The 25,911-nt window shown below is 37.1% G+C and overlaps 1 long non-coding RNA gene across 1 annotated transcript; it reads right to left on the reverse strand.

The window, feature by feature from the left end:
* LINC01235 (long intergenic non-protein coding RNA 1235) lies at positions 1-24,950 on the reverse strand. The gene is made up of 3 exons (NR_033863.1): positions 24,824-24,950; positions 10,020-10,166; positions 1-2,054 (listed from the first exon to the last, which is right to left on the reverse strand). It is a non-coding gene; the product is annotated as a long intergenic non-protein coding RNA 1235 (long non-coding RNA).
* Positions 24,951-25,911: the final 961 nt, after the last annotated feature.

Consider the following 25,911-nt stretch of genomic DNA (forward strand, 5'->3'; position numbering starts at 1 on the left):
TCAAAGCATATCACTTTTATTTGTTGGCTCAAACTTAATTTGGTTCATTTTAGTACATAAGATGAGTGATTAAAGTAGGAGGTATCAAAACTTAACCAATTTATTTAATATGGATGAAACTCTGCTGTGAATGAAAGAATGAAGAGAAATATAAGTGTCTGTCAGAAACTTCAGTATGTTTAGCACACTATTTTTACTTTGGATAAATGTGTTTTGTGCTATGGAAAAATGCAGTGATATGGATCTGGTAATCCTTGTAGCTATGAAGCATTACTAATTACAACAAAATGTAACACAGTCTTGTAAATTTAAAACATGAAATCCAAAGCAATAATTGTTTTATAAGCTACACTTTTATTCTATGGATAGACTCGATAACACATTTGTGAACATTTAATTTCTACACTAGCATGACTATTTTATCTTATTTATGCTATTCAATAGCTGTTGTCTCTCTGGAAACATAAGCACACCCAACCTCTGAATGCATAAATTATTTAGTGGGAGAAAATTAAGAACTTTCAAAACAATATAAACTTTTTGAGGTCACCAAGGTACCATGAAGTAAATTATTGCCCCACAGTTCTAAATGGTACCTAGTAGCCAGGAAGAGTTTAATGCACCTTTCAAAGTGCCTAATTTACTCTCAGGGAGGAACAGAATAGTGGACAGGCTCTGGATGATGAATTACACATCAAGATGCATTTTCCCAAGTGAATTGGGCTCAATGTTGTCTGAGTAAAATGAATGCCTCACATCTATTTCAAACTTGTGAAGGAAAAGGTCTACAAATAGTTTCGGAAGTCTAAAAAACACCATTCCATTTACCTAAATGCAGTAAAGGGCAAGGCAAACTCAGTTACATAAAATAGGACTATTGGTGATAAAATGCTGGCCAAGGCAACTGAATGAAAAGAATCCCGTGTGTAGTTTGGAAGGGTCATGGAACAAGTAAAACTGAGAATGAAATCTCATCTGAAAGATAGCTAAACTTTCTGTAATTCTTGGGTGTTCCAGAAAGGACTTCCTTGCAAGAATTTAACCTGTCCAACCTTGTAGAATCTATCACATCTGCCAGGATCACAACTGAAGGTGGTATGTCTCCAGGCCATCAATGCTGTTGTATGTATTTACTGAAAAATTTCTTTGTTTCTTTTCTTTTCTTTTTTTCCTTTCTTTCTTTCTTTTTTTTTTGAGATGGAGTCTCGCTCTGTCGCTCCTGCCTTAGCCTCCTGAGTAGCTGGGCTTGCAGGCATGTGCCACCATGCCCAGCTAATTGTGTATTTTTAGTAGAGACGGGGTTTCTCCATGTTGGTCAGGCTGGTCTCGAACTCCCGACCTCAGGTGATCCACTCGCCTCGGCCTCCCAAAGTGCTGGGATTACAGGCATGAGCCACCGCGCCCGGCTGAATAATTTCTATTGCAAATAAATAATAAAGTATTTCTGCCTTTTGAAAATTTTCCTTTGTTAGTCTTACAGTTTCAGAGAGATTACATGAATGTCTGGTAACTTACTTATTATTGCTTTTCCTTTGGGGAGTGATAAAAGATTCCGGAGTTATTTTTGAATCCTGGGGCTCTGAACTCATGTGATCCTTACTTCCAAATAACTTTAAGCAATTGAAACTTAAAAGCACACTGACTTTGTATTATCACAGTTTTACTTTCACAGATGTCTGGCTATTCAATTCATTTAGTATCATATTTAAGACTACCGTAACTAAATGTAATGCTCTTAGACTGTAAGACCATTGAGGACAGATTCTATAACAAAGTAGATTGTGTTACTATTCACCAAATATTCGGGTTTCTCTCCCCGTGGTGCCCTCCCCCGTAAGAGATTATGTGTCCCCTTTTGGCTGAATTTAGGAATAGTCATGGGAGGAAGTGACATGTAAGTAGTTCTGTGCAGAAGCTTTGAGATTAGTGCTTGATTCACCATTTCTCTTTTCTCTCAATATCCCATCAATATCCCACGTCAAGGCTCCTCAATCGAACTGGGTGTGCTAGTGAAGATGATGATGGAGTAGATCCTGCGTTGACCTGTGAGAGACCTATAGCATAAATAAGGAATAACATTTGTCGTTAATGAGTGAGATTTTGTAGTCCTTTGTTTCTACAATATAATCTGTCTGACTCTCACTTGTGCAAGTGCATAAGACCTGGCACTTTGTAGGTATTCAGTAAATACCTGTTGAATGAATCAGTTTTTAGACTTTTGTAGCAAATCATTGTGCACACCACCTGAAACCTGGCTTTGATATATCATAACTGCCTGTGGGTAAAAATAAGCATAACAAAACATAATTTCCCTCTAGCTCTGACTCTACCTCCAGAAATAGTCCCTCTCCTTTGAGAAGTTTGGGAACATTCTTTTGTGCTTCATCTCATATTTTGTTCTTCTCTCCAGCTTCATTGGGATTGTGTCATTTTTTTCTGTTAGTGGCAAACTGGCATATGTGTCACTAGTTGTTACCTCAAGGTACTGCTGTTGATAATTTTAGACAATGACAGCATCAAAGATGGACTTGACTAATGTTGAGGATACCAGTGTCAGCATCTACTGGGCAGAATGCTTTGCCTTGCTGCTTTTCTTCTCGAGAACCAAACTTTTTAACAAAATGATCCTTTTGGGTTTGATTTTTTAAAATTTTACTAGATTTCCATACTTAGAGTCAGTCATGAGTTCCTAGTTGCTGAGCTAGAAGATAATCAGAATGACAGGCATCATGCCTTATTCAGAATCTGCTCCAATTCCGCTTCATGTCTTTGAAACAAATTTGTAGTATAATAGCTAAAATCCATTGAGGGAGTACTTATATGCCAGCCACTGTTCAAAGAGCTGTACATATTTATTCTGTTGAATCTTTACATCAGCCATGTGATGAAAAAACTGAGAAACAAAGAGTTTAAGAGACTCTGTGTGGTCACACAAAAAGGTCACCCAGGCTGTCTTCTTCAGAAACCAGTCTATATTATACTTCTTAACTATATTTCAACTTTTTTTAAAATTTGCTTTAAGTTCTGGGAATGTGCAGGTTTGTTACATAGGTATACATGTGCCATGGTGGTTTGCTGCACCTATCAACTCATCATCTAGGTTTTAAGCCCTGCATGCATTAGGTATTTGTCCTAATGTTCACCCTCCCCTTGTCCCCTAACCCCCAACAGGACCTGGCGTGTGATGTCTCCCTCCCTATTTCAACTCTTAAAAAAAAAATTTCCTGTGGCAGTTCCTTAGACATTCACGTAAGCAGAGCCCTAGTGGCCACATTCCACTCACTTTCCATTTATGCCCAGTCAAGGTTCATTTCCATAGCATACGACCCAGTGTCTGCTCTCATGTTGTTGACAAACATTAAGATGATAATGATAATCTCAGATATCATCTTGTCATTTTATCATGGCACATTCAGTGTACTATTCAAACTCATTATCATTACATTCAGGATACTATTCAAACTCCATGAGTTATTTAGAAGCAGTGAAATTGCATTTATTATAAAATATGATATATTTAAAATGTTTTAGCTGGGACATATTCTCAATTCTTTGTTTTAAAATGGGATATGGGACTTTTATTTTTATTTTTCTTACAAAATTTTTTTTTCAATAGAACAACAAGACAGCTTTGTCAATCTGTGTGATTTCCCATGTTGGATTGTGTAGAAAACAGATCTAAGTTGAAATCATGATTTGGCCTTGACAATATAAAATCCCTATGAGGAGTAAAATGCTAACTAATTATTACCCAAATGCCAGTGACATACTATATTGTAATTAAAATAACCTCATTTGTTTATAATGAAGATGGGAAAAGTGAGAAAATATAATTCTTACTGAATGATTAGAATTCAAAATTATACATGTATTCTATTTACAACCACTAAAAAGTTCCGGTGTATATTCTAATACACAAAAACTAGAATGGAATGAATCCCAATCATGATGGCTAGGTTAAACTTGTGAGATTTGGAGCCAATTAAAAATTATGTTTTCAAAATATTTGCTATTTTTAATAATAAAAGTAAAAAAACATGAAAACAGAACTTAATATTTAAAAAATCAGTTTCAACAAATTTAGCAATTATACCTAATAATACATTTAATTTCTGAAATTGCACTCTTAGTTATATTTATTAACAATCGAATTGTTGACATCTAATTTCTTCCAACTATATTGTTCTCTGTTCTCTTCCTAAGAAATTCAGAGGAGTGAAGTAAGGTGCATGGAATAGTTTATAGAAATAAGATAAGCAGAGATCTTATCCTGGCTCCTTCAGGAATATATAAGGTAATAAAACTCCACAGAGTTGTTTTTACTGGCAAATATTCAAATACCAGCCTTTGAGTTAGAGCTTCACTGGCCAAAAGTTGGCAAGGAAAGCTTCTGTGCAATGTCTGTGAATAAGAGTCCCTAAACTGACTAAACTGACTAGGGAAATTGCCAGGCTGTACTTGAATTTTATTAGTAACGCTTTAAAGTGCTAGCAACAAAGATCCTAATTAGGTTTCCTTAATTCTACCCAAGGTAGTTCATGAACACAAAGGTCAAGTTCAAAACCAGAGGCTTTTGTATCTGGGAGGGCTGAGAAACAGGCAGCAGCACACGTGCAGCCACTTTTTTCCTTTATCCAAGGTAGGCAAGAATCATCTACTTAGCATTTTCATGATATTCCCACCTTGGGTTTCAAATCTTTTTCATGAACGCTGTAAGCAGTTCATATCAATTGCTTGGAGTTATCATATGGAATGAAACTATTCGACATTCCACACTTAACCCACTGGTTTTTCAGATGAGAAAACTGAGACTCATGGAGGAAGGTAGGAAACTAATTATAAGCATGTTCTATTTTCAAGGTACTCTGACAGGTATTTGGCTTGTGTTCCTTCAAAAAATATCGTTAACATTCCCATTGGACAGATGATGAAACCGAGTCTCAGAGACGATAAGCAATATGCACAAGCTTATAGTCCTCACTAGCTACAGATGCACAATTGCCATACGATTCTATTGACCCTATCTAGAAAATTAATATATTTTGCTCTACCACCAAACTATAAGGTAATGTTATTCTTTCTCTGAAGAAATTAATGTATGATGTTAAAAGAATCCTTCTTGGGTCAATGACAGCCACTCATCTCCCTGTGAACCAGAGAAACAGACTTATAAATAATAAAACACTATGCATAGCAGCCACCTGGCACCTAAATATTAATAGTGTGTATGTGAAACACTTTTATATAACCACATTAAAGGCATTAAATAAATGTCAAGGCTTGAAAAATACCACTTTGGGTCACTGCTGGCCACTAAACTCTACAGTCTGACTATTAAAGCAGTGATTGTTTTTTTTTTAAGACATTCGCTTTTCTGGGCTTTTCTTTCCAGGAAAAATTGTATCTTTCTGAACCATAAGGAGAGCAGTTTGAAGCTTAAAATTTGTAAACATAATTACTATTTATGAAGTTTGAGCCATAGTTACTCCTAACCATTTCCACTCCTTTTCTCCCAACTCAGTGTTTTCAATCTCTCCACAACCTGGGCAACTCAGTCTGGGAAATTCTCCACAGTGCAGAGCAGAACCAGGGCCCTCTGTGTGCATAGAGGACAGGCTTTTACCATCAGTGATGAAGCATTTGTTCCTTTCTCCAGCTCCTTCTGGGAAAATGGACTTCCCAAGAGGGAAGCTTTTCTGATTAGGAAAGTTTTTCTGATTCCCTCTTCCTAGATAAATCATATTGTGAATTATTTTGTTGAATTCCTTTCCATTTGTTTTCTATTTAGTTCTTGCTTCATTCCCTGTAGATCTCATACATCCCTCTGAATAGTAAATTCTAATCTGTTTTCAAAATAAACATGCAATTGAAGAAAGAAATATTAGGAGGAAGGACAAGAAGGAAAGAATCCAACTAATCTTGATTATATATTTAAAGCATTTTTAGGAGCTATATCTTTCTCCACAGCTCTACTCTCACATCAATATATTATCTGACTTCTGTAAAAACAAAGGCAAACAGATACAATTTTTTTTCTAGTTAATTTTAAGCAAAATGCAGAACATGTCATCTACACACCCCTGGACCTTGGCCGATTTCCAGAACTCTAGATCTGTTTCCAGAAGCTTCTGCTGCTTTGTCAGTACAATTTCGGCTAGACTGACCTTATGATCTCCAGCATCATTTTCTAGTCATTCTTTTCCAAGCAAAGCCATAAGGATGGGAAGAAAATTCTCTGGAATGTGACAAAACTGGCACAATGAGAACCTTATAAGGTTTGTGCTGGCAGCAATGCAAAAATCACACTGGCTAGGAGAATTAACCATACCATGTGTAGTTTCATGGTAGGAACTTATGGTTCTCAGTAATTAATGTCCATGGTATAATCAAAAGCATATCATAATTTTATCCATGTTCTAATAGGAGATATATTGCTTTAAATATAATCGTATGTAATAGCCTAATTTTCTAGGCAACTTTTTGAGCTCTTCTACATTTTAGGACTAGAAAAATAGTGCCAGCTTCTGACAAATATGAAAAAAACATGTTTACAATGGATTTTAACATATTTTGTTTCCTTTAAATAACATTTATCCTGAAAAGTATTTATTAGTGCCATGTATATTTACGATAAGAAAAAAATAAAAGTACCCCTATTCTGATTGCTAAGATACAACCACTGATAACATTTTAGTTATTTCCTTCTAGCATTTTTCTGCACATTTAATTACATATAAATAATCACATAATTAGAGAACACTGTACAATTTGCTTCATCCTTTTTCACTTATGTGATAATAGCTATTTCCCTATATCCTATTTGATGTTAAAATAATGAATCTCTTTGAGGAGAAAAGAAGTTAGTTTTTGAGAGGCACCATTAAGTAGTTGCCTCATTATTAATTCTTTTTAAATTAATGAGAATTATTTATACTTATAGTTTGTGCACTTTTTGTTCTGTATATTACACTTCAATAAAAAGCTTATTAAATACAAAATCTCAAATTAATTAAAATGTGATTCACCATGACTACGTAACATTCCATCATGCATCTTAACTATGATTAATTAGGCCATTCTCCCATCCTTAGACATTTAGTTTGTTTTCAGTGTCTAATACAAATAACACTGCTATAAATACACTGGTATTAAATATTCCTCTGTATCACATTCACTTAGGGTAGAGTTCTAGCATTTTTTGCCTCTTTCTTGAGAAGAAATGCATTATAATGAGGGAGAACGATTAATGTAATACATTTTCTGCAATGTATTTATTGCTGGGGTAAACTGGTAGAACTCTTAAATTCCTATAATTATAGTCTGAAAGAGAAGGTGGGACTGCAAAATCCTGAGCTGGGCCCCACATGTGAACCAAGTTTCACCTATATGTGAAACTTGTACGTGTAGGGGAGATATTCTTCATCCCAGTAAAATGAACAGTTGTCTGTTAAATTCAATTGAGTAAACCATTTTTGAGCACCAAGTACATGGCAGGACTCTCCTAGACACTAGATACAGAGATGCGAAAGGTACAGCTCTGTACTTGTTTAGGAATAAGAGTTGACCCCTGAGGAAGAGTCTCAAACCACTGTGGACATGAATGTTCCTCCTCATTTCACAATCCCTTTATCTGTACATTGGGATAATAATACTTAACCTCAGTGGCTTGTGGTGAGAATTAAGTCAGTGTTTACAGAGCACTAGCCAAGGGTGCTATTCAAAATATTTAACAATCCATATAAACTGGCACCAATCAATCAGAAGAAATCCTGGTTTGGACAAAATGGAGGCAGTCGGTAAAGAACTGTTCTCCGACCTGATGCCTTCTGGCCAAGTACTTTGTGCCCTTGTGTAATATAGGTACTGACGATCATTAGTTTTTCTTTCTTTATTCCTTTTGATTTCCTCAGGTAAAATAAAATATCCTCAAACTCATATTTGCTTTTGAATGAAATTATTTTGCATTCACAGTATTTGGAGAAAGCAACCTCAGAGATATGGTTTGTGATCAAACACTCTTCCTTTCATTTTTACCCAATAGGAGTCATTGGGCCTCTTCAACTGTTCTTCCATTTATTTCCTTTGTGTCCAACTCCTATTTTTTTCTACTGCCAACAGTCACAGCAGCTTGTTAGGAGAAAAATTACATCATATATTTACTCCTAAAAATTGGCAGTGAATATAGGAACCATGTGGGAGGTGGGGATGGGACATGGGCCTAGTCATATAAATATAGTAAATGAAAAATAAAAAAACCCAAAACCCTATTTTCTGGTAGCAAGCTTTAGGTTTTTGATTACCATTTAAACTGTTAAATTTTACCTAATTTACTAAAGTAAAAATAAATAAAAAGGATTATTACAGAAGTTGAATAACAACTACAAGTATAAAAAACACTCATCGATTACTGTAGATTTTTTTTAGGTGATTATGGTTAAGTAACTACAGTTCAATAACAACAACTTGGAAATATGTTAACATTTGCTCTTCAAATTGAGAAGATAAATACTTTACACTACAGGAATAAACCATCTGAGCTGCTCAAATCTCATATCGCCTTTGAGTTCCAATAAGATTCCTGCATCCTGCTGCCATCTGAAAAACTTCTTTTTGGAAACATAGGAAATGTGGAGTCAGGAATGGGAATATTAGGTGGTGCAATAAGGAATGAGAGTTTTCTGTAAGTTCATGTCAAAGAATGCCATTCAAATGCCCACTGCATAATATGGCTTTTATTGTACTCAACATGCTGCTTTGCCTCTGGTAAGTGCTTAATACACATTGAGGGAATGAGCAGGGACAGAATGAATGCTTCATAGACACCAGAGGTAAAGTGATATCTTTGGAAAGAATATTTACTCTGGAACCTGAATGTCCATCAAAGGTGCACTTGTTGGCTAATGTTGAGGATACCAGTGTCAGCATCTACTGGGCATGATGAAACCAAGTCTCAGAGAAGCTAAGCAATATGCACAAGCTTATAGTCCTTACTAGATAAATGTAGGGCAGAACCCTTTGCCTTGCTGCCTTCTGTTCTCATAAGCCAACATTTTTAACAAAATGATTCTCTTGGGTTTGGTTTTTAAAAAAATTTTACTAGATTTTCATCATTAGAGTCAGTCATGAGTTCCTGGTTACTGAGCTAGAAGATAATCAGAATGACAGGCATGTGGTGTCTATGAAGCATTCATTCAACACAGGTTGAAAATCTCCAATTCCATTAGTTACTATCTAAGTGAATATGGGAAAATATTTTAAACTTTGATCCTCAGTGTCCTTATATGTAGCATGAGAAAAATAACATATTTGCAGAATTGGTATAAAGTTTAGAGACAGTGTGTATGTAGTGACTGGTCAGAGTAGAGTCATAAGTAATAATAACTATCATATTTATTTGCTGTTTATAAATAATATAAAAGTCTAGGAACTACGAAATTGTGGGACTTTAAAAATAACAACGACAACAAACAAACTTCTCCTTATGGTATCCTCAACATAAATGTAAATGAGCACATTCAACAGTTGTGACATAAGAGAGGTAAAATTAGGAAAATATCTCCAAATAAACATTTTTTAAATGAAGGCTTTACTTCTCTTTGAAGTTTTTGTCGAGCAATGTTGATTTCCACAGTATTTCAATTTTTAGCATAAATAGCAACGCTTTGATCTTGGTAGGAGGCGTCCTCTCTGAGTTCTTGTACAATATGCAGGTAAATACCAATCTAAATATTTCACATTTCATCTACCTTCTCATGAAGCTTTACTGGATCAAACACTGTAGGAAAGCTCATTTTTTAAAAACTCTGATCCAGCCAAATTAAAAACTCTGATCCAGCCAAATTCTCTGGAGGCAAAAGAATGCTTTAGTTTGTCAATATAACATCTAAGGTGGAAGTAAGGCGGAGTAGAACAATAATTACCTTCTTTCAGGAGGGCTTTATTTATAGCCTCCTTTTTTTCTGTCACTATTAGATAAATTCTATGCAAGAATGTTCTCCAAGGTTTCTCTCTGTTCTTACCCTTCGGCTTCCAGGGCCAGAGGTCTTGCATTGGCTCTGCTTTGCTCTCTGTTCTCCTGGCCATCCTCAGACCCAGAGCCACAGGTAAGGTAGGCTGCTTCTTAGCCTTTCTCTTTTCTCCAGCAGACTCGGGGCCCAAATTGGGACCTTTGTGAGAGAAAATAAAAACCACCTTCAGAAAGGTGGGGAATCAGCAGGATTGGGAAATGGAATAAAAGAAGAAGAGTCACATGACCATTGCAGTCTACGCATTGAGGTGGGTGCACCGAGGAAACATGCGTGTGTTTGCTGCCATACCCTTCTCCCCCAACACCCATCAAATGCAGCTCCAGATGTCTTTAATTTCTGTAATTATTTCTGTAATTGTTTATTGTGGTCGGGTCAAATTGTGTATAGCATACGTTCTTTGGCCACCAGCATCAGTTAAATAATATTACTAATAGTCAATTTGCTCACTATGTGCCTGAATATATGCTAAATACGTTAGTCACTGAAGTTACTCCTCTCACTGACTCTTCAAAGTGGGTATTATCGACATCTTACAGAAAAGAGGAGCATATGCCCAGATTTCAATCCAGATAGTTTGACAAGAGAGCCATAGCTCTAAGTCACTCTACTGTATTCCTCTTTAGTTATGTCCCAGCCAGTTTGTATTGAAAAGAATGAGGTGCCAGGCGTGGTGACTCATGCCTTAATCCCAGCACTTTGGGAGGCCGAGGTGGGCGGATCACGAGGTCAGGAGTTCGAGACCAGCTTGGCCAGCATGGTGAAACCCCATCTCTACTAAAAATACAAAAATTAGCCGGGCATGGTGGTCCAGACCTGTAGTCCCAGCTACTTGAGAGGCTGAGGCAGGAGAATTGCTTGAACCTGGGAGGCGGAGGTTGCAGTGAGCCAAGATCGCACCACTGCACTCCAGCCTAGGTGACAGAGTGAGACTCTGTGTCAAAAAAAAAAAAAAAAAAAAAAAAAAAAAAAAGGGAATGAGGTATAGTGACTAACGAGATGCACACATCATACATGATAAGTCTGAGCTGTACTTGGTGCCTGCCCTCAGCAAAATTTCCTTTGCACAAAAATTGGGTCACAGGAAAACAATCAGACCTTCCTGACTGATCTTCCTGCTTCTATTCTCAATACTCATTCTAGCTCATTCTGAATATGGCCACTGATTGATCATGTTACAGCTTGTTTTAAAAACTCCTTGGAAAAAAATGCAAAACAAATCAAAATCAAAAGCCTCCTCCATCATTAAATTCTTCTGTAAGGTCCCTTTGCATTGGAAGTATTTTAATTGTCTTGAGCGAATCTAAGGTCTACATTGTAAATGTGTGTTTGTCAACTTAAAGTCAGGGAGGCCAATGACATGTTTCCTCACATACATTGAGTGCAGAAAGAGCACTGTGCTCCATATAGTATAGTTGCCAATTCTGGGAAGTTAAAGATAAAACTGAATATTTTATTTTATATAAAAATCAGAAAATTCAATTACCAGTATGTTGAATTTCCTTGTTTATTTCAGCTGATTAACAGAGCTGACAGTATCACTCAGATTCAATTTGTTGAATATTGGCTTGTGTAAATCTACAGTCTACATGCAATATTAACTGAATCTGAGCATCTTTTACAATTGTTTCAAATGTATACACGTTATTTCCCCCAAGACAATATTACAGATAGTGAATTTTTATAAACTGGTGTGGAAACATTATATTTTTCCACCATGTTTTAAGTGTTTATGGAACAATATATGTGTATTATTAATACTTTATGAAGTAAGCCATAGGTAAATTTACTAAGTTCTTGATGCCTGATGTTGCAGCATTTGAGAGAGGACCTTCTTCATTCCTAATAAACTAAAAACAGTATATATTTTTGGTCTAATTGGCATAGATCAAGGTAAATTACATGGCATATATTACCAATTAAGTGTATACTGTAAGCATAGTTATTAAAAAATAAACTTTTTAAAGCAGTCACTAAAATGCTTTTTCTTCTTCAACTTTTCCCTTCTCCTGCAAACCTGTACCAGTTTAGCATCAAAGTTTAATACTGCCATTTAGGATTACTGGTAATCAGTTTCTATCTATCCTCCCAGTCCCTTTCTCTAGCACTCCCATCTATAAATCCTGCCCTCCAACCAAACTGGATACTTCATTTTTCTCCAGGATGGTCATTGTATTTCCTTCTCTGTGTGTATCTGTGGATGTTTTGCCTTTTTCTCTCAACCAGATGGATCCTTTCTTTTCTTCAGGATTCCATTCAAATCCCATTTTCTCCCCTGAACTGATCAAGACTTTATTCCCTTCCATTTAATATAGACAAAATCAGATACATCCACAGTGTAGCTTAGACTTATTGTTTATATAATTTACCAAATACTTAAATTTATATTGTCTCACAGAAGACAGTGAGGAGTAAGCCAAAAAGTCAAATAACTGAAAGGGAGGTCTTCCTTACCCCTCCATAGTCCCTGAAGACATTACTAACCAACCTCTCCCATACTCTTTGCTGAGCCAAGACACCATGCGGACTTCTCAAGGTGGCCTTCCACTACCAATCAGAGTGGGTGCAGATGATGGAGTGGTCAAATCAGAATCTGGAAGCATCTGTTCTGCTTCTGGCTGCATCTCTTAAGAGCTGTGTGAATGGAAGCTTCTATTTCTTTATTTGAAATGGGATAATGCATACGAAAGCATATGAAACATTTTTTGAAATTAGATATTATAAATAGGCCATGTAATATGGTCTTAAACTATTATTTCAGTCTTCTATTGAGATAGAGCCAGTGGTGTGCCCATTTAACAACCAGGTCTCAGGAAAAAATAGCTCTGATTGTAGCCTTTGCTGACTTCCTTGGTGCAAATACCACATGGCAGATTTTAAACTACGAATGAGACATCGTTGAATACAGACTTGGAATTCACAGCAATACGCTGTTATACAGTGTTTTCATTGTACGGATACAGTAGATGTTGATCTTCTCAAGAACATAGATAATAGTAGAAGGTAGTAAAATAATTCAGAAGTGATGATGTTTGAGTATTGCCTTTTGTTTTAGATCTACTTTTAATATTTAGTATTTAACAATGGCTATTTTTAGCAACTGGCCTGAAAATTTCTGACAATTTAACAATTGGCTTTCACTAGTGGGCGTGAGTCAGCTCTAGCACACTTCTGGTAGCGTCCACATTTTCTTCTCCAAATGTATTAGAGCAAGGCTGGGCATGGTGGCTCATGCCTGTAATCCCAGCACTTTGGGAGGGCAAGGCAGGCGGATCACCTGAGGTCAGGAGTTCGAGACCAGCCTGGTCAACATGGTGAAACCCCATCTCTACTAAAAATACAAAAAAAAAAAAAAAAAATTAGCTGGGTGTGGTGGCGGGCACCTGTAATCCTAGGTACTCGGGAGGCTGAGGCAGGAGAATTGCTTGAACCTGGGAGGCAGAGGTTGCCGTGAGCTGAGATCGTGTCATTGCACTCCAGTCTGGGCAACAAGAGCAAAACTCTGTCTCAAAAAAAAAAAAATGTGTTAGTGCAAGAGCAGTGTTTGACTGAGTAGCATGCTCTTATTAGTGTTTGCATATAATAAGAACTTAATTTCTATTTTTTAAATGAATTGTGTATTAAAAAAAAAGACTGATTCCTCAACATATTTAACATATGTATTTATTCAAAAATTTTGTTGAGTGCACACAATTTGCCACCTACTCTGTTAAGCTAAGATAGGAGGAAAAACATCATATGGGTTAATATTTAATCACCAAATCTTCAAAAGCAACTGCTCAAAAAAGTCTGATCAATTATTTGTGAGTTCCTTATAAGTCCTCTGCCCATCTTTGCAACTAATAAAGGCAGTAGCCAGGAAGCTCTGTTTTACCTTCACTCTTTCATTTTGTTCAACTTCACCAAAGGTGACAAAACAGCAAGTACTGGTTTACAGTTACATTCCCATTTTCTTCAACTCCTTACTTTTTCTGATTTCCTCCATTTTCTGATTCCCTTACACCATTGCTCAGCACAGGGGACCTTAACGCAAGCAGCTCCCCTCCATGGCAGACTTTCAGATATACTACTAGGCCTGGAGTGGGAAGGGCCACTGCTACTGAAACTGTCCATGGCTAGGAGATCTGCTCATCTACCATGCCAATGCCCACAAACTCCCTCAGAAGCAGGTCCTGCTATTCATGCTCTGTGAGTGATGAAACTGAGGTTCCAAGAGATTACTTATCTTGCTCAGAATCATTTCACTAGTATGGATTACAGCTGGCAAAACTCTTATTTTTCCCCATCATAAGACTTTGATTTTTCCTCCTTCATATAACAGAAGAATGTCTTGCTCCAATTTTTGAAGTATGGCAGTCAGGAGAACCTTTCAAAAGTGAAGGAGTAGAGGTAGATGGTATATTATATTGAAATCTGACTTTCAAATAAAATTGCCTTAACAGTTTGTATTTGACTTTCTCCTCATTTAAACATAATAGAAGGCTGAATAGTCATGTTTTGATGTTTGAAGGCAAGTAACCACAGGATTTGAATTTCTCTTAAAGAGGTGGGTTACAACCTGCAGTTGAGCATGTAAACTATGAACCCAGTTGAAAGTCAACTCTAACGAGATTTTCTCCTCCTTCTCCTCCTTCTTTTCCTTTTAATTTTATGTAAACATTTATATTACTGAGGTAAACCATAATATTGTTTACTTCATGGTGCAGGAATACCACACATGCAGCACAAAGTATAAGAAAAATGTTACTCCTGGGATTTCAAGCTCAGGTTAAAAAATAAGACAACAGTCTCATTAATATAGTGGGGAAGGGACAGATGCTGCTGAAAGTTATGACTCTGGAAAGCCAGATTCATTTTTCAAGAGCCTTCTACAGCTAAACACAGATATTTAAGAACAAAAGATGCAGTAAAAGATTTTTTAGGAGTCTATCATTTGGAAATATGGGGCTGGTGGAACCATAGCCACTGTGATATGAACTCAATTGAAATAAAGCACAGGAAAATTAAATAAACAAAGCAATCAAACCCAAATAATATCATGTTGGCCCAGATTTGCATTCTGAAAACACCAGAATTTTCTACTTCCTGAGGGATATATCCCCAAAAAATCTGTAAGAGAACAAAAATAATGTGACAAGTAAATTTTCAGAAAAAAGAGAGAACAGAAACTGCAGCTAAAATACCAGTTGGGATATGATTCTCTGACCAGAGATTTTTATGAGAAGGAGGGCAGAAACCAATAGAAATGACTAAGTTCACCCTTTACTGGATTTTTATATAAAGTGGCTATTTACACAGTAGGCCAATACACAGGTGCCAAGAGAATGTAGACCAAGAAAGAAACAATGGAGTAGAGAGCTAGGTCCCAACACATCCATGCCAAAAGCCTACTGAAGGTCTTCTGCTTTCTGGGTAAGACATTCTGCTGGTAGGCACAAAAGGGCCTGTATAAGCGATAGTCAGAGAAGACACCAAGCCTCCATTTAAGGGAGCAAATATGGCTCTGTTTTGCCCACTGTGTATTCTAAGGAGAATGAGGCTTTGTGTTATGGAGCCAAGAAAAGGAAAAGTCCAAATGATTAAAAACACAGAAGCAATTTTAAGTTTCAAATAGAACTCAATGCTGGAGAAAAAAAGTCAAGCATCATCAGAGAGGTCTAATTAATAACAGGTCAATTCCCTTTCTCTGTATGTTTTTCCCTTCTGTGGAACAAAAATGATCTGTTAATTTTATTCCAGAACAGAGAGAACCTCTGTGAATTTCGTAGACATTGCTACGCATTTAAAAGGATAAAGTAAATAATTTTTCTGTGATTTTTCGTTCTGGATAAATGTACAGTTGTTTAGTTAGGCCAATCTAGGTAATAATAACAATGAAATATAGGGATGTACAAAGTGTTCTAGCATTTAATTCTCATCACTACCCTACACAATGGTGGAGAAAATATTGCTATTATAATTTATAATAAGGAAACGGAGGCTCCCAGAGGTCAATTTACTTGCTCAGAGTCACATGGAAGTAAGTAGTGACTGTGGTTAGGATCCAGACCTTTTGTGTCCATGTCCAGCTAGATCACATTGTCTTTCTTAGACCAGTGAGAAAACTCATTGAAATGATACAGGAAGGTTCATTGTTGGCCTTTCAGTGTTTTGTTAATACATTTTGGTACCATGGGATGAATTAATTTAACAGAGTTGTCTATTTTTTCAAACATTATTAAAAAATGGACCTGAAGGATGATTATGAAAGCCTTTTCCTTACAGGTCCTGAATTACAAATGTTACATTTGAGAGATTACAGAATTATCTCCTTACGATAATAAATAGTTTGCATATTTAAAATTATAATGTGCATAATCCTCATTTGTGGTAAATTGAACCTGAAGAAAAATTATACAGTAAGGATTGAGAATCATTTGAAAGTCAAAGGGGATGGTTCAATGAGGAGAAAAAAATGCAATATGTAGTCACTACTAAAAGCTTATATCCAAAGAATGTTTATACCATTAAAGTGCCAAAAATATAATGCTAATGGGAAAAAACTACATATACAGCATAATCCCAATTTTGTTTAAATAAATACCTCATAGCTCTGTGTATGTACGTTTGTGCATATGTAAGTTGTGTGTGTGTGTGTGTGTGTGTGAATATACAATTGGAAGGAAATATTGGAACCCACAATATCTTAATAGTGTGTGCTTTTGCTCTATGATGGGAGACAGTTGATTTATGAATGATTTGGGGAACTATGCTGGCATAGTAGTTATGCTGTGGAGTGAATGACTGACTTTGACTCTGAAGTCCATCACTTATTGTGTTCCCTTACATACACTTTGGCTTCATTGTTTCATGTGAAATGGGACTAATATTAGGATCTACCTCCTGGACTGCTGCCAAAATTAAAGAGGATAAATATTAAAATATATCAAACAGTATGGTCATTGCACATAGTAATTCTTCAAATATGGCAGCTGTTAATTGAATTTTCTTCTTTTATACTTTTCTGAACTGTTCAAATTTTCTAAAAAATATTGTTAATGTTTTGTAATCAGAAAATAGAAATAAATCCACAAAAGTATTTAAAAGCGACAGAATTAATTTAGCTAAATTTTTAAGCAGTGAGTTGGTAAGAGGAAGTGTGGTAAGGCAAACTTTTTAGTTTGCCACATTTTAGTCTTTTTAATTTAACTTAATTTTTTTTATTTATTTAATGTTTTGAGAAAGGGTCTCACTCTGTCAATCATACTGCAGTGCAGTGGTGCACTCTTGGCTCACTACAGCCTCAACCTCTTGGGCTCAAGCTATCCTCCCACCTCAGCCTCCTGAGTAGCCAACACGCCTGGCTAATTTTTGTATTTTTTGTGGAGAAGAGGTTTTAACCACGTTGCCCAGACTAGTCTGGAACCCCTGAGCACAAGGGATCCTCTTGCCCCGGCCTCCCAGAATGTTGGGATTACAGGCATGAGCCACCATTCCAAGCCTTATTCTATTTTAATTCTAACAATAATTTGGTAAGATAAGGTATGTTCCCTGTCTGCTTTTATAAATGAGGCTTCGATCCTGGACCAGTCTCTCACTGGTAGTTAAGGGTTAAGAAATGAAATTCCAACTGGGTCTTGCTGTTTCCAAATCTAAACATGTATCTATGGTCTCCACTTTTCTTACCTACCCTTCCTCAAAGGCATGATCCCTATTCCCTGTGTCCCTACCTTTCTAGGTAGTTGAGTAAGAAAAATAAACCTCTGAAATCACTAGCAAAAGAATGAAGCAGCAAAAAGGCATGATGGGAATTCAGAGAAATGGTCAGAGTATCCCGGGGTAGTCAGAACAGGGAGGAAGCAGAAATTGTGTTGGGCCCTGAGGAATCAATATTGATAACACAGGTTAAAGGGATATGTCCATAAGAGCATGCGACTAAAAGGCAAGAACCCCGGGATACAGAAAGCACTCTGTCCTTGTGATAAGGCAGGAGTCTAATTGAGCTGATAAACACACGCCACCTGTGGGCAGCTGAACTAAAAGAGGACAAGGTGATACACTCCCACTGGGGCCTCAGGAGCTGTAAACATTCACTCCTAGACACTGCCGTGGGGTCAGAGCCCCACAACCTGTCTTTCTGCTTCCACTAGGGGTTTTGAGCAGTGGGGCGCTGAAGAAGTGAACCACACCCCCATCACATGCCCTGAGATGGGGACAAGGGAACTTTTTCTGTTTCAGTAGTTGAAGAGCACACAGAAGGGATCTACTTAGCAAGATCAAGGAAGATTTCCACAAGGAAGTGCGGACCGAGCTAAGATATGATGAAGGAACAGGAATTAAATACATAACAGAGTGTGAGGGCAGGAGGCAAGCATAAGGGTCAGGCTTCCAAAAAGGTCAGTCTGATTACAGCAGACGGAGCAAGAATCAGGGTTAAAGCAGAAGAGACTTCAAGGAAGGAAGGAGGCAGATCATGCAGATCTTTTACAAAAATCCGTGGTCACAAATTTTCACCCAGCTCTGTGAGTTAGACAATATTCTCACTTTGTAGAATAGCAAGATGAAGCTCAAAACTGAGAAACTGGACTATGGTCACAGAGCCGGTAGGTGCTGGAGGTGGGGTTGGAATAAGATCTATCTACACACTTTAGGGCCTGGATTTTGAAACGATTGAATCTTCCAGTGTTTCACAATCTGACATTGATGCATTGTCCAATAGATGTTCCCTGTGGGTGACCCATTAGGGACAACTTTATTCCCTGGGCTCTTTGCTCGCCTGTAAACAGTGTACCAAAGGGAGGATACCCTGCTGTGCTCTGCCAGATAAAAATTATGTCTGCTTCACCTATCAAAGTTGAATCCTTCCTTCCTTTTTTTTTTATAATTTTTTTAAAAATTTTATTATTATTATACTTTAAGTTTTAGGTGCACAATGTGCAGGTTTGTTACATATGTATACATGTGCCATGTTGGTGTGCTGCACCCATTGCCTCGTCATTTAGCATTACCTTCCTTCCTTCCTTCCTTCCTTTCTCTCTCTTTCTTTTCTTTCTTTCTCTTTCTTTCTTTCTTTCTTTTCTCTTTCTTTCTTTCTTTTTCTTTCTTTTTTTTTTTTAAGACAGAATCTCATTCTGTCACCCAGGCTGGAGTGCAGTGGCAGAATCTTGGCTCACTGCAACCTCTGCCTCCCAGGTTCAAGGCTCTCGTGCCTCAGCCTCCTGAGTAGCTTAGGACTGCAGGTGTGCACCACCTTGCCTGGCTATTTTTTTTTTTTTTTTTGTATTTTTAGTAGAGACGGGGTTTTGCCATGTTGGCCAGGCTTGTCGTGAACTCCTGGCCTCAAGTGATCTGCCCACCTCGGCCTCCCAAACTTCTGGGATTACAGGCACGAGCCACTGCATCCAGTCTTGAATCCTTATTTCAAATAGTGTCTACTTTTCAGTTTTCTGATCAAAGTCATCAGTATTCAGAGCTTCGCTGGATTACTATGGTGCATATTTTTCCCCAGGAAATAAAATAATCAGTTACATTGTTCCATTCCCATAAGACCTTCTCTTGTTTATTGAGCAGGAATAGCAACATTGGATGTTTATTATGTACCAGGCATTCTGCTAAAGCATGTTATATATATATTATCTCAAGGCAACCTCAACCACCCAATGAGGTAGAGGTGTCCCATTATTCCCTTTTTACAAATGAGGAAATTGAGCATCACTGAGTTTAAGTGGTTTGCCTTAGTCACTCAGTTTATAAATGACAGAGGTAAGGTTTGAATCCAGAAGACCTGTCTGACGCCAAAGCTACAGTTTTAACTTAATGTTTGAAAAATTCAACTTTAAAAAGAGAATTCGTATTTTAAAAGAATTCATGAAATAAGAACATTCCTGAAAAGGTTGCATGCCAGGATATACTGTAATTCAACAATAATTACATTGTTAAACAAGGAAGAACTCATCATAAAAAGATTCTCTGTGGCTATGACAACAATTATGGATGCTTTAAGAAATCAGTAATTTCCTAAATTAAGATACAAAGTTTAAGATGCAGGGATAGTTCTTTAAACAAAAGTGGTTCACTTCTCAAAGATGAAGGATACATATATTTTGAGGCAGTGTATGGGGGGCTGGGGTGAGGAGACAGAAAGGGAAAGAGAGGAGTGAAATATTCTATCTAGGTAACCTTTAACAAAATTGCAAGTTTGTTTTCAAAGTTTATACGGTAAGAGGGTACGGTGGAAGAAAGACCTCATCGTTAAGGCAGAGAACATCCACAGAGCAAGATCTTGTCTCTGTAGGGCTATATTGCTTCCTTTCTAAAAAAAAGAAAGGTTTTCCTTCACAGTGCATTTACGTCAAAATTCTAAAACCTCTCACATGAGCCTATCACATCAACCTTGTCAAGTCTCACTTGTTGAAATGAGTGGGATTTGAAAACTTCTGAGTGTGCTATTACATTTTCCATTTATGTTCAGGGAATATGGCTGTGTGAAAAGGAGGCCAAGAGTTGTGGGGGTGGTGGATTTGAGGGAGAGACAACTCTAAATGAGTGAAACCAAATAGATTGATTGTTTCAGGTGGTGGAGGGTAGTCTCCAAGAAGGATTGGGCAAGGACTTTGAGAAGAAAATGCATTTTACTTTTTACATTTTTAACATTTATTGCCCTCACTAAACTACATGTTACATCAAATATCAGAGTTTAAATAAAAGAATCCAATGTTTCTTTGCTTCAAAACTGTAAACAATTTACAACTGATCTATTTATTCTCGATGAAATAACAATAGATACTTCTTTTTATTTTCTTCTTGTCTTTTTTAGAGCTCAAGAGACAAGGAAGCATCATGTAGAAATTTGATATTTCCATTAAGATTTCTCAGCTTCTGGAAAACAAATTTGATATTTGTGTCAGGTTGGAGAAAATGCAACCCTAAACCTAACCTTAATTATATTTTAACCCTAACCCAAATTCTGTGTAATAGAGGGTACTAGGCAAGGGAATGACCAGATGTTTTTTAGAGAGGGCAGAAGTTGTTTACTGATGTTAGAAAATTCACGTAACTTGGGCAGGAGAGGTGGCTCACGCCTGTAGTCCCAGCACTTTGGGAGGCTGAGGCTGGCGGATCACCTGAAGCCGAGAGTTCGAGAAAATTCATGTAACTATCCACTTCTAAAATTCTTAGCATTTGTATTGCTATCATTATAAGTGAACATCTTTCAGGTTTACCAAAAAGCTTAGCCATTTTTTAATCAAAATTTAATTTGGTGAAGATGTTTTTTAAATAAGTAAACAAATTTCTGATTGATAGAGATCAAATGTTTTCCCCTAGTAGCCAGTAGAGGGAGCTGTTGGCATTTGATTTGGCATTATAACTCGACCTGGAAGTTCCCTTAATTAATTCAATGTTTGAAATCAAACCACAGTTTAAATGTAATGATATTAATATGCAAGAATAGACGTGTAAACGTGGAGATTTTCCATTCCCATTAAACTTTCTACACAACCACAGATTTCTGGTTCTTCTGTGGGCCCCTTTTAGAGAGCTTATGTTATAGAAATGTTGGCTGCTGTAAATTAAAGCTGCTCAGAATTGAGTTCATGTACCTAGGCAATGATTCAACATTTCTGAGACTGATTGCAAGTCAAGAAAGAAAGCAGCTTCTTCCTCCAGCTCATAAAAAAAGAAAGCAAAAAAAGATGTTTGACCTAGAATTATACTTGAAGTTTTCAAAAGAAAAATTGTATGTATTAGGTTGATAATAAGTTTGATTATCTCTAATCCAGGAGGAAGAATCCTCTGTAGTTAATGTTCTGGGTATATTTGATGCCGTCCTTGTGGTGAAATATAGCATATTGATTTTTCTTATATTCCCTTCACCCCAAGTTCATTTCCACAGCTATAGTTTAAAAAGCAGTTATTCACAGCCTAGTGTTTAAAATATACTTCTCCTTTTTGTAATAGGTTTAAGCTAAAATGGATTATAAGTAATAATTTCCAAGCACTTCACCAAGTATTATCTTTATCTCAATAAACCTTAATATATAATGTACACATAAACTGCAGTTGTAACTATCTGCAGATAACCTAGCAGACAGCCGGGGAAAGGATTACTCTGATAGTAGTACTTCTCAACCAGCCTCGGAATTCAGTTGTAAACCCCCTAGGTAAGAGAAAGTTTGAAGAGAGAGTTGGAAATAATCATTCTGATTCACTTAAATGTTTCCCCTCCCTAATGTAAACATAAAAATAAACTATTGCATATTTAAATATATGATATTAAAGACATGAAATCTTACCAAACTTGAAATAGAAAATTACTCTAAAAGATAAAGAAAGCAGTGTTCTGTTTTGATACGGATTAACAGATGAACATTAAGCTCTCTACCCGATCGTCACCGATAGATTTAAGATTACTCCTTAAGGCTACACTGAAAGCATACTAGAAATAATAGGGTTAATTGTGTTCTGAGTACATAAAGAAGTGCCACTTTCTGGGGACAGTATGCCACATTGCAATTGGCAAACTAAATGCTAAACCAAAATCACTTCCCCTGTTCACAAAACATGTGGAGCTTCTTGGAAAGAAAAAAAAGGTGTTTTTTAACTGAGTGGGGACAGTGTTCTGTGCTATTTCCAGGAAGTGTGTATTTTCTCAAATCACTTATGCTTTTTAATCTGTTGGACCTGGTCTATGTTTTGTGTTGATTTCTGGGCCTTCCAATCAAAATTAATTTTGCTATTCTTTCTGAGAGAACTTTTTAGAACGAAAAATGAACCTCTCATACAGTTGAAAGACAAGGACCAAAAGTGCTGTATTATACTTCTTGAATGGTTGAAATCTAGTTGGAACAAAACCCCCCAGCACTATTAAAAATATAATTTTAGGTGAAATTTCATTCCATATGAAGCATTAATTTTAATAGAGACTTATATATAAGCTCTCATTTGAATAATAATGTAAAATTAAATTTAAATTGTAAATAACGTCCAGATACTAGTTGTTTCCTGGCTCAAATTCTTTAGCACATATGGTGCTAGCATAAGCTTGTGCCTGTCTGCCTACTCTGGGTAATTTTGCATGCAAATAGTTTTAGTGCCTATGTTGAGGTGCTAAAACGTGTTTAGTACACTTGAAAATATTTGCATTGCAAAAGGAGAGCGAATCTCCTGAGGAAAATCAAATTGATATTTTGTATTAAGAGACCACTTTGGACACTGCGTGGTATTCTGCTAGGGAGAATTCTGTTTACAGTGCAGCTAGCATTTTTAATTGACCTTTAGAAAAGAAGGTCTGGCTTCAGCTTTGCCAGGTTTATAAACCGTTGGACCATCTTCTGGCAGCATTCACCACATTAATCAGTCAAGAGAGAAAGAGAAGGAAAGAATCTCCTTGCCTTGGCTGGACTGTAGTGTTTCATGCCTCAATTTGGTGGATTGGTAGGATAAATATGTTAATTATAATTAAAAGTTTCAGCTGGAATGTGCCTAACTAATTAGCTAACTAACTAACCAGCTAACTAAGGAAAGGCTTTAGTACAGTGGAGCGGTGGTGGGTGCTGGGTGTGAGGCCCCACACACTCTTCCATTTGCCTCACTCCCATCTGCTGCATTTATGGGAACCAGTTCGTTAAGAGTCTGAATTGAATCCAAATAAAATGCATTTCTGATGCAAGCCCGATGACTGGTGCCATTCTCCGCTGCATTATGTCAAATTAGAGTTTGTTTGGAAAAGAGGTTACAGGGATCCTACGTAAATGTCGCTTGCGCAGAACATCGATCAAATAAGAGTTATGCACAAATTTGCCATCTAATTCCTATAAATAAATTGAGCACCTCCCTCCTTGATTTTGCTCCTATTCACCATGAGTGATTAAAAAATTAGCACTCCTAATAATAAATAAAATTCAAGAGGCAAGCTAGTAAGAGGTTTGTGGAACTTTTCTTATAACAGTTATTTCAAAGTTTTTAGATAATTTTATTACAAGAACCAGTTCAGGTGTAGTATATCCCTATAAAATGAAAGTAAGTTCAAGGTCCGTAAGAGAAACAGATGATACTAGGTCTACAAGAGGAATTCAAATGTGAGACCCCTCTGTCTGCAACTCCCTCCTCTGTCGAGAAATGATGCCAGATGGAATCCTGATAACTCCCATTGTTAAAGCAGCTCTATCGCTTTCAGCCCAAGCACCATGCAAGAGTTACTACTATAGATGCTTCTATTGGCTAAAACGTGCTGCAGGATCCAGATTTTTCTGCATATTTTACTCCTTCGTGCTTAATATTCTTTCATCCCTGCCACTTCTCACAGTGTGCAAGGTGCAGTATTTTGTGTCAATGAATAGCCAGAGACAGGTAGCAGGCAAGAGCCAAAAGGAACTCATTATGAATACAAACCAGTAAGGAGGAGCTGACTTACTGTGCTACTGAAACTTTGCTTGCAATCTAGTTCCTTTAAAACAATCTTAAAAAAAAAAAAAAAAAAGCCTCCGTTGTCTGTGGGATCCTAGCACATCAATCAATCCATTAAGTAAGTAAATAAGGCAATAACTAAACAATAAATCATTTTGAATTTCACGCATGCACAAATCTTTTGATACATAAATGACAAGGTTTAGGTTCGGAGGCTACCACCTCTGTTCCAGTAGTTATCATACAAGATAAAGAGTTGTTTTTAAACTGTGGTGCATTGCTCATTCTGGTCCCCACATGATGGGGCTTCTTTCACCCCTTGGGTGGTGGTGTGTGTATGATGCACGGCCTGGGAGTTGTTTGTGTGTGTGTGTGGTGTGTAGCGGGGGCCATGCTGTTAGGGGGAAGCCTACCACACATTTCTGCCATCGCAGACGGTGGGCAAACAGCTGTCTCCACAGCTGAGACCACTGGAGCTGCTTGCGCTGCTCCAGTAACTCGAGAGCACACGGCTGGTCCCTGGATGGCACAGAGCACTGTGCCTGCAGCAAAGTGCCTGAGCTTTCCTGGGGCTGAGCGGGCGGGGTCTTTGCCACCAGACACAATAAGCATGTGAAATGGGGTTCATGAATTATTCATCCTTGGTGTCCTATGAAACAAAGAAATGATATGTTTGCTGGTAGATAACTGTGTTGTGGCATTTGTAAATCTTTTTGAATTTGGAGTTGATCATGTTTCTTGTGTTGGTGGGGAAATGTGTGTGTGTGTGTGTGTGCGTGCGTGTGTGTGCGTGTGTGTTTTTTCCCTAAAATAAAAATTTGGGAGTTCAACACAATAATCTTACAGCAAAGGTCTTCCATGAAATATTGCATGGATTATACTATTTTGGCTCATGATTTACGGATTTTAAAAATCTCATTCAGTGAAAAGGGATGTTAAAATGGTTTCACTGCAATAAACTACAGCAAGATACCAGGTTCTCAAGGAGTTTATTTTTCTCCTTAGTAGGCATCCAGCCCACTTTTGTTAATGCAAGTTTCATTACTGTGGACTAGAGAACAGTGGTGCCTTCAGCATGACACTACAGCATCGGGAGGAATGATTCTTCACTTTCACTAAAATATTAGTAAAAATGATACTTTGGCGAATTGAGCCCTAAATTGTGTTAGTGACAGTTAAATACCCACTAATTTAACACCAGTTAAACTGGCAATAAAATGACCCCCAACTGAGTTAAGCCACCATCCTATTCCTGCACAATAGCTCCAGCCCTAATGCCAGTGATCTATAAAGCCACTGGGTAGAGTTTATGCATTTGCATAACAAATATTTCTGGAGTGTTGTATAAAGTAGCTAGCTACTCAAACTTATCATAATTGTTATTTATAATTATCATCTGCATATTCCTTTCATTTATTCTTTAATATCTCAAAGAAAATAAAATGATTTAATAGTTCTTCATTATCTTTGAAACACAACCTGGTGAAACATATCATGGTAA

This window comes from Homo sapiens, chromosome 9, assembly GCF_000001405.40.
Source record: "Homo sapiens chromosome 9, GRCh38.p14 Primary Assembly".
NCBI classification, from domain to species: Eukaryota; Metazoa; Chordata; class Mammalia; order Primates; family Hominidae; genus Homo; species Homo sapiens.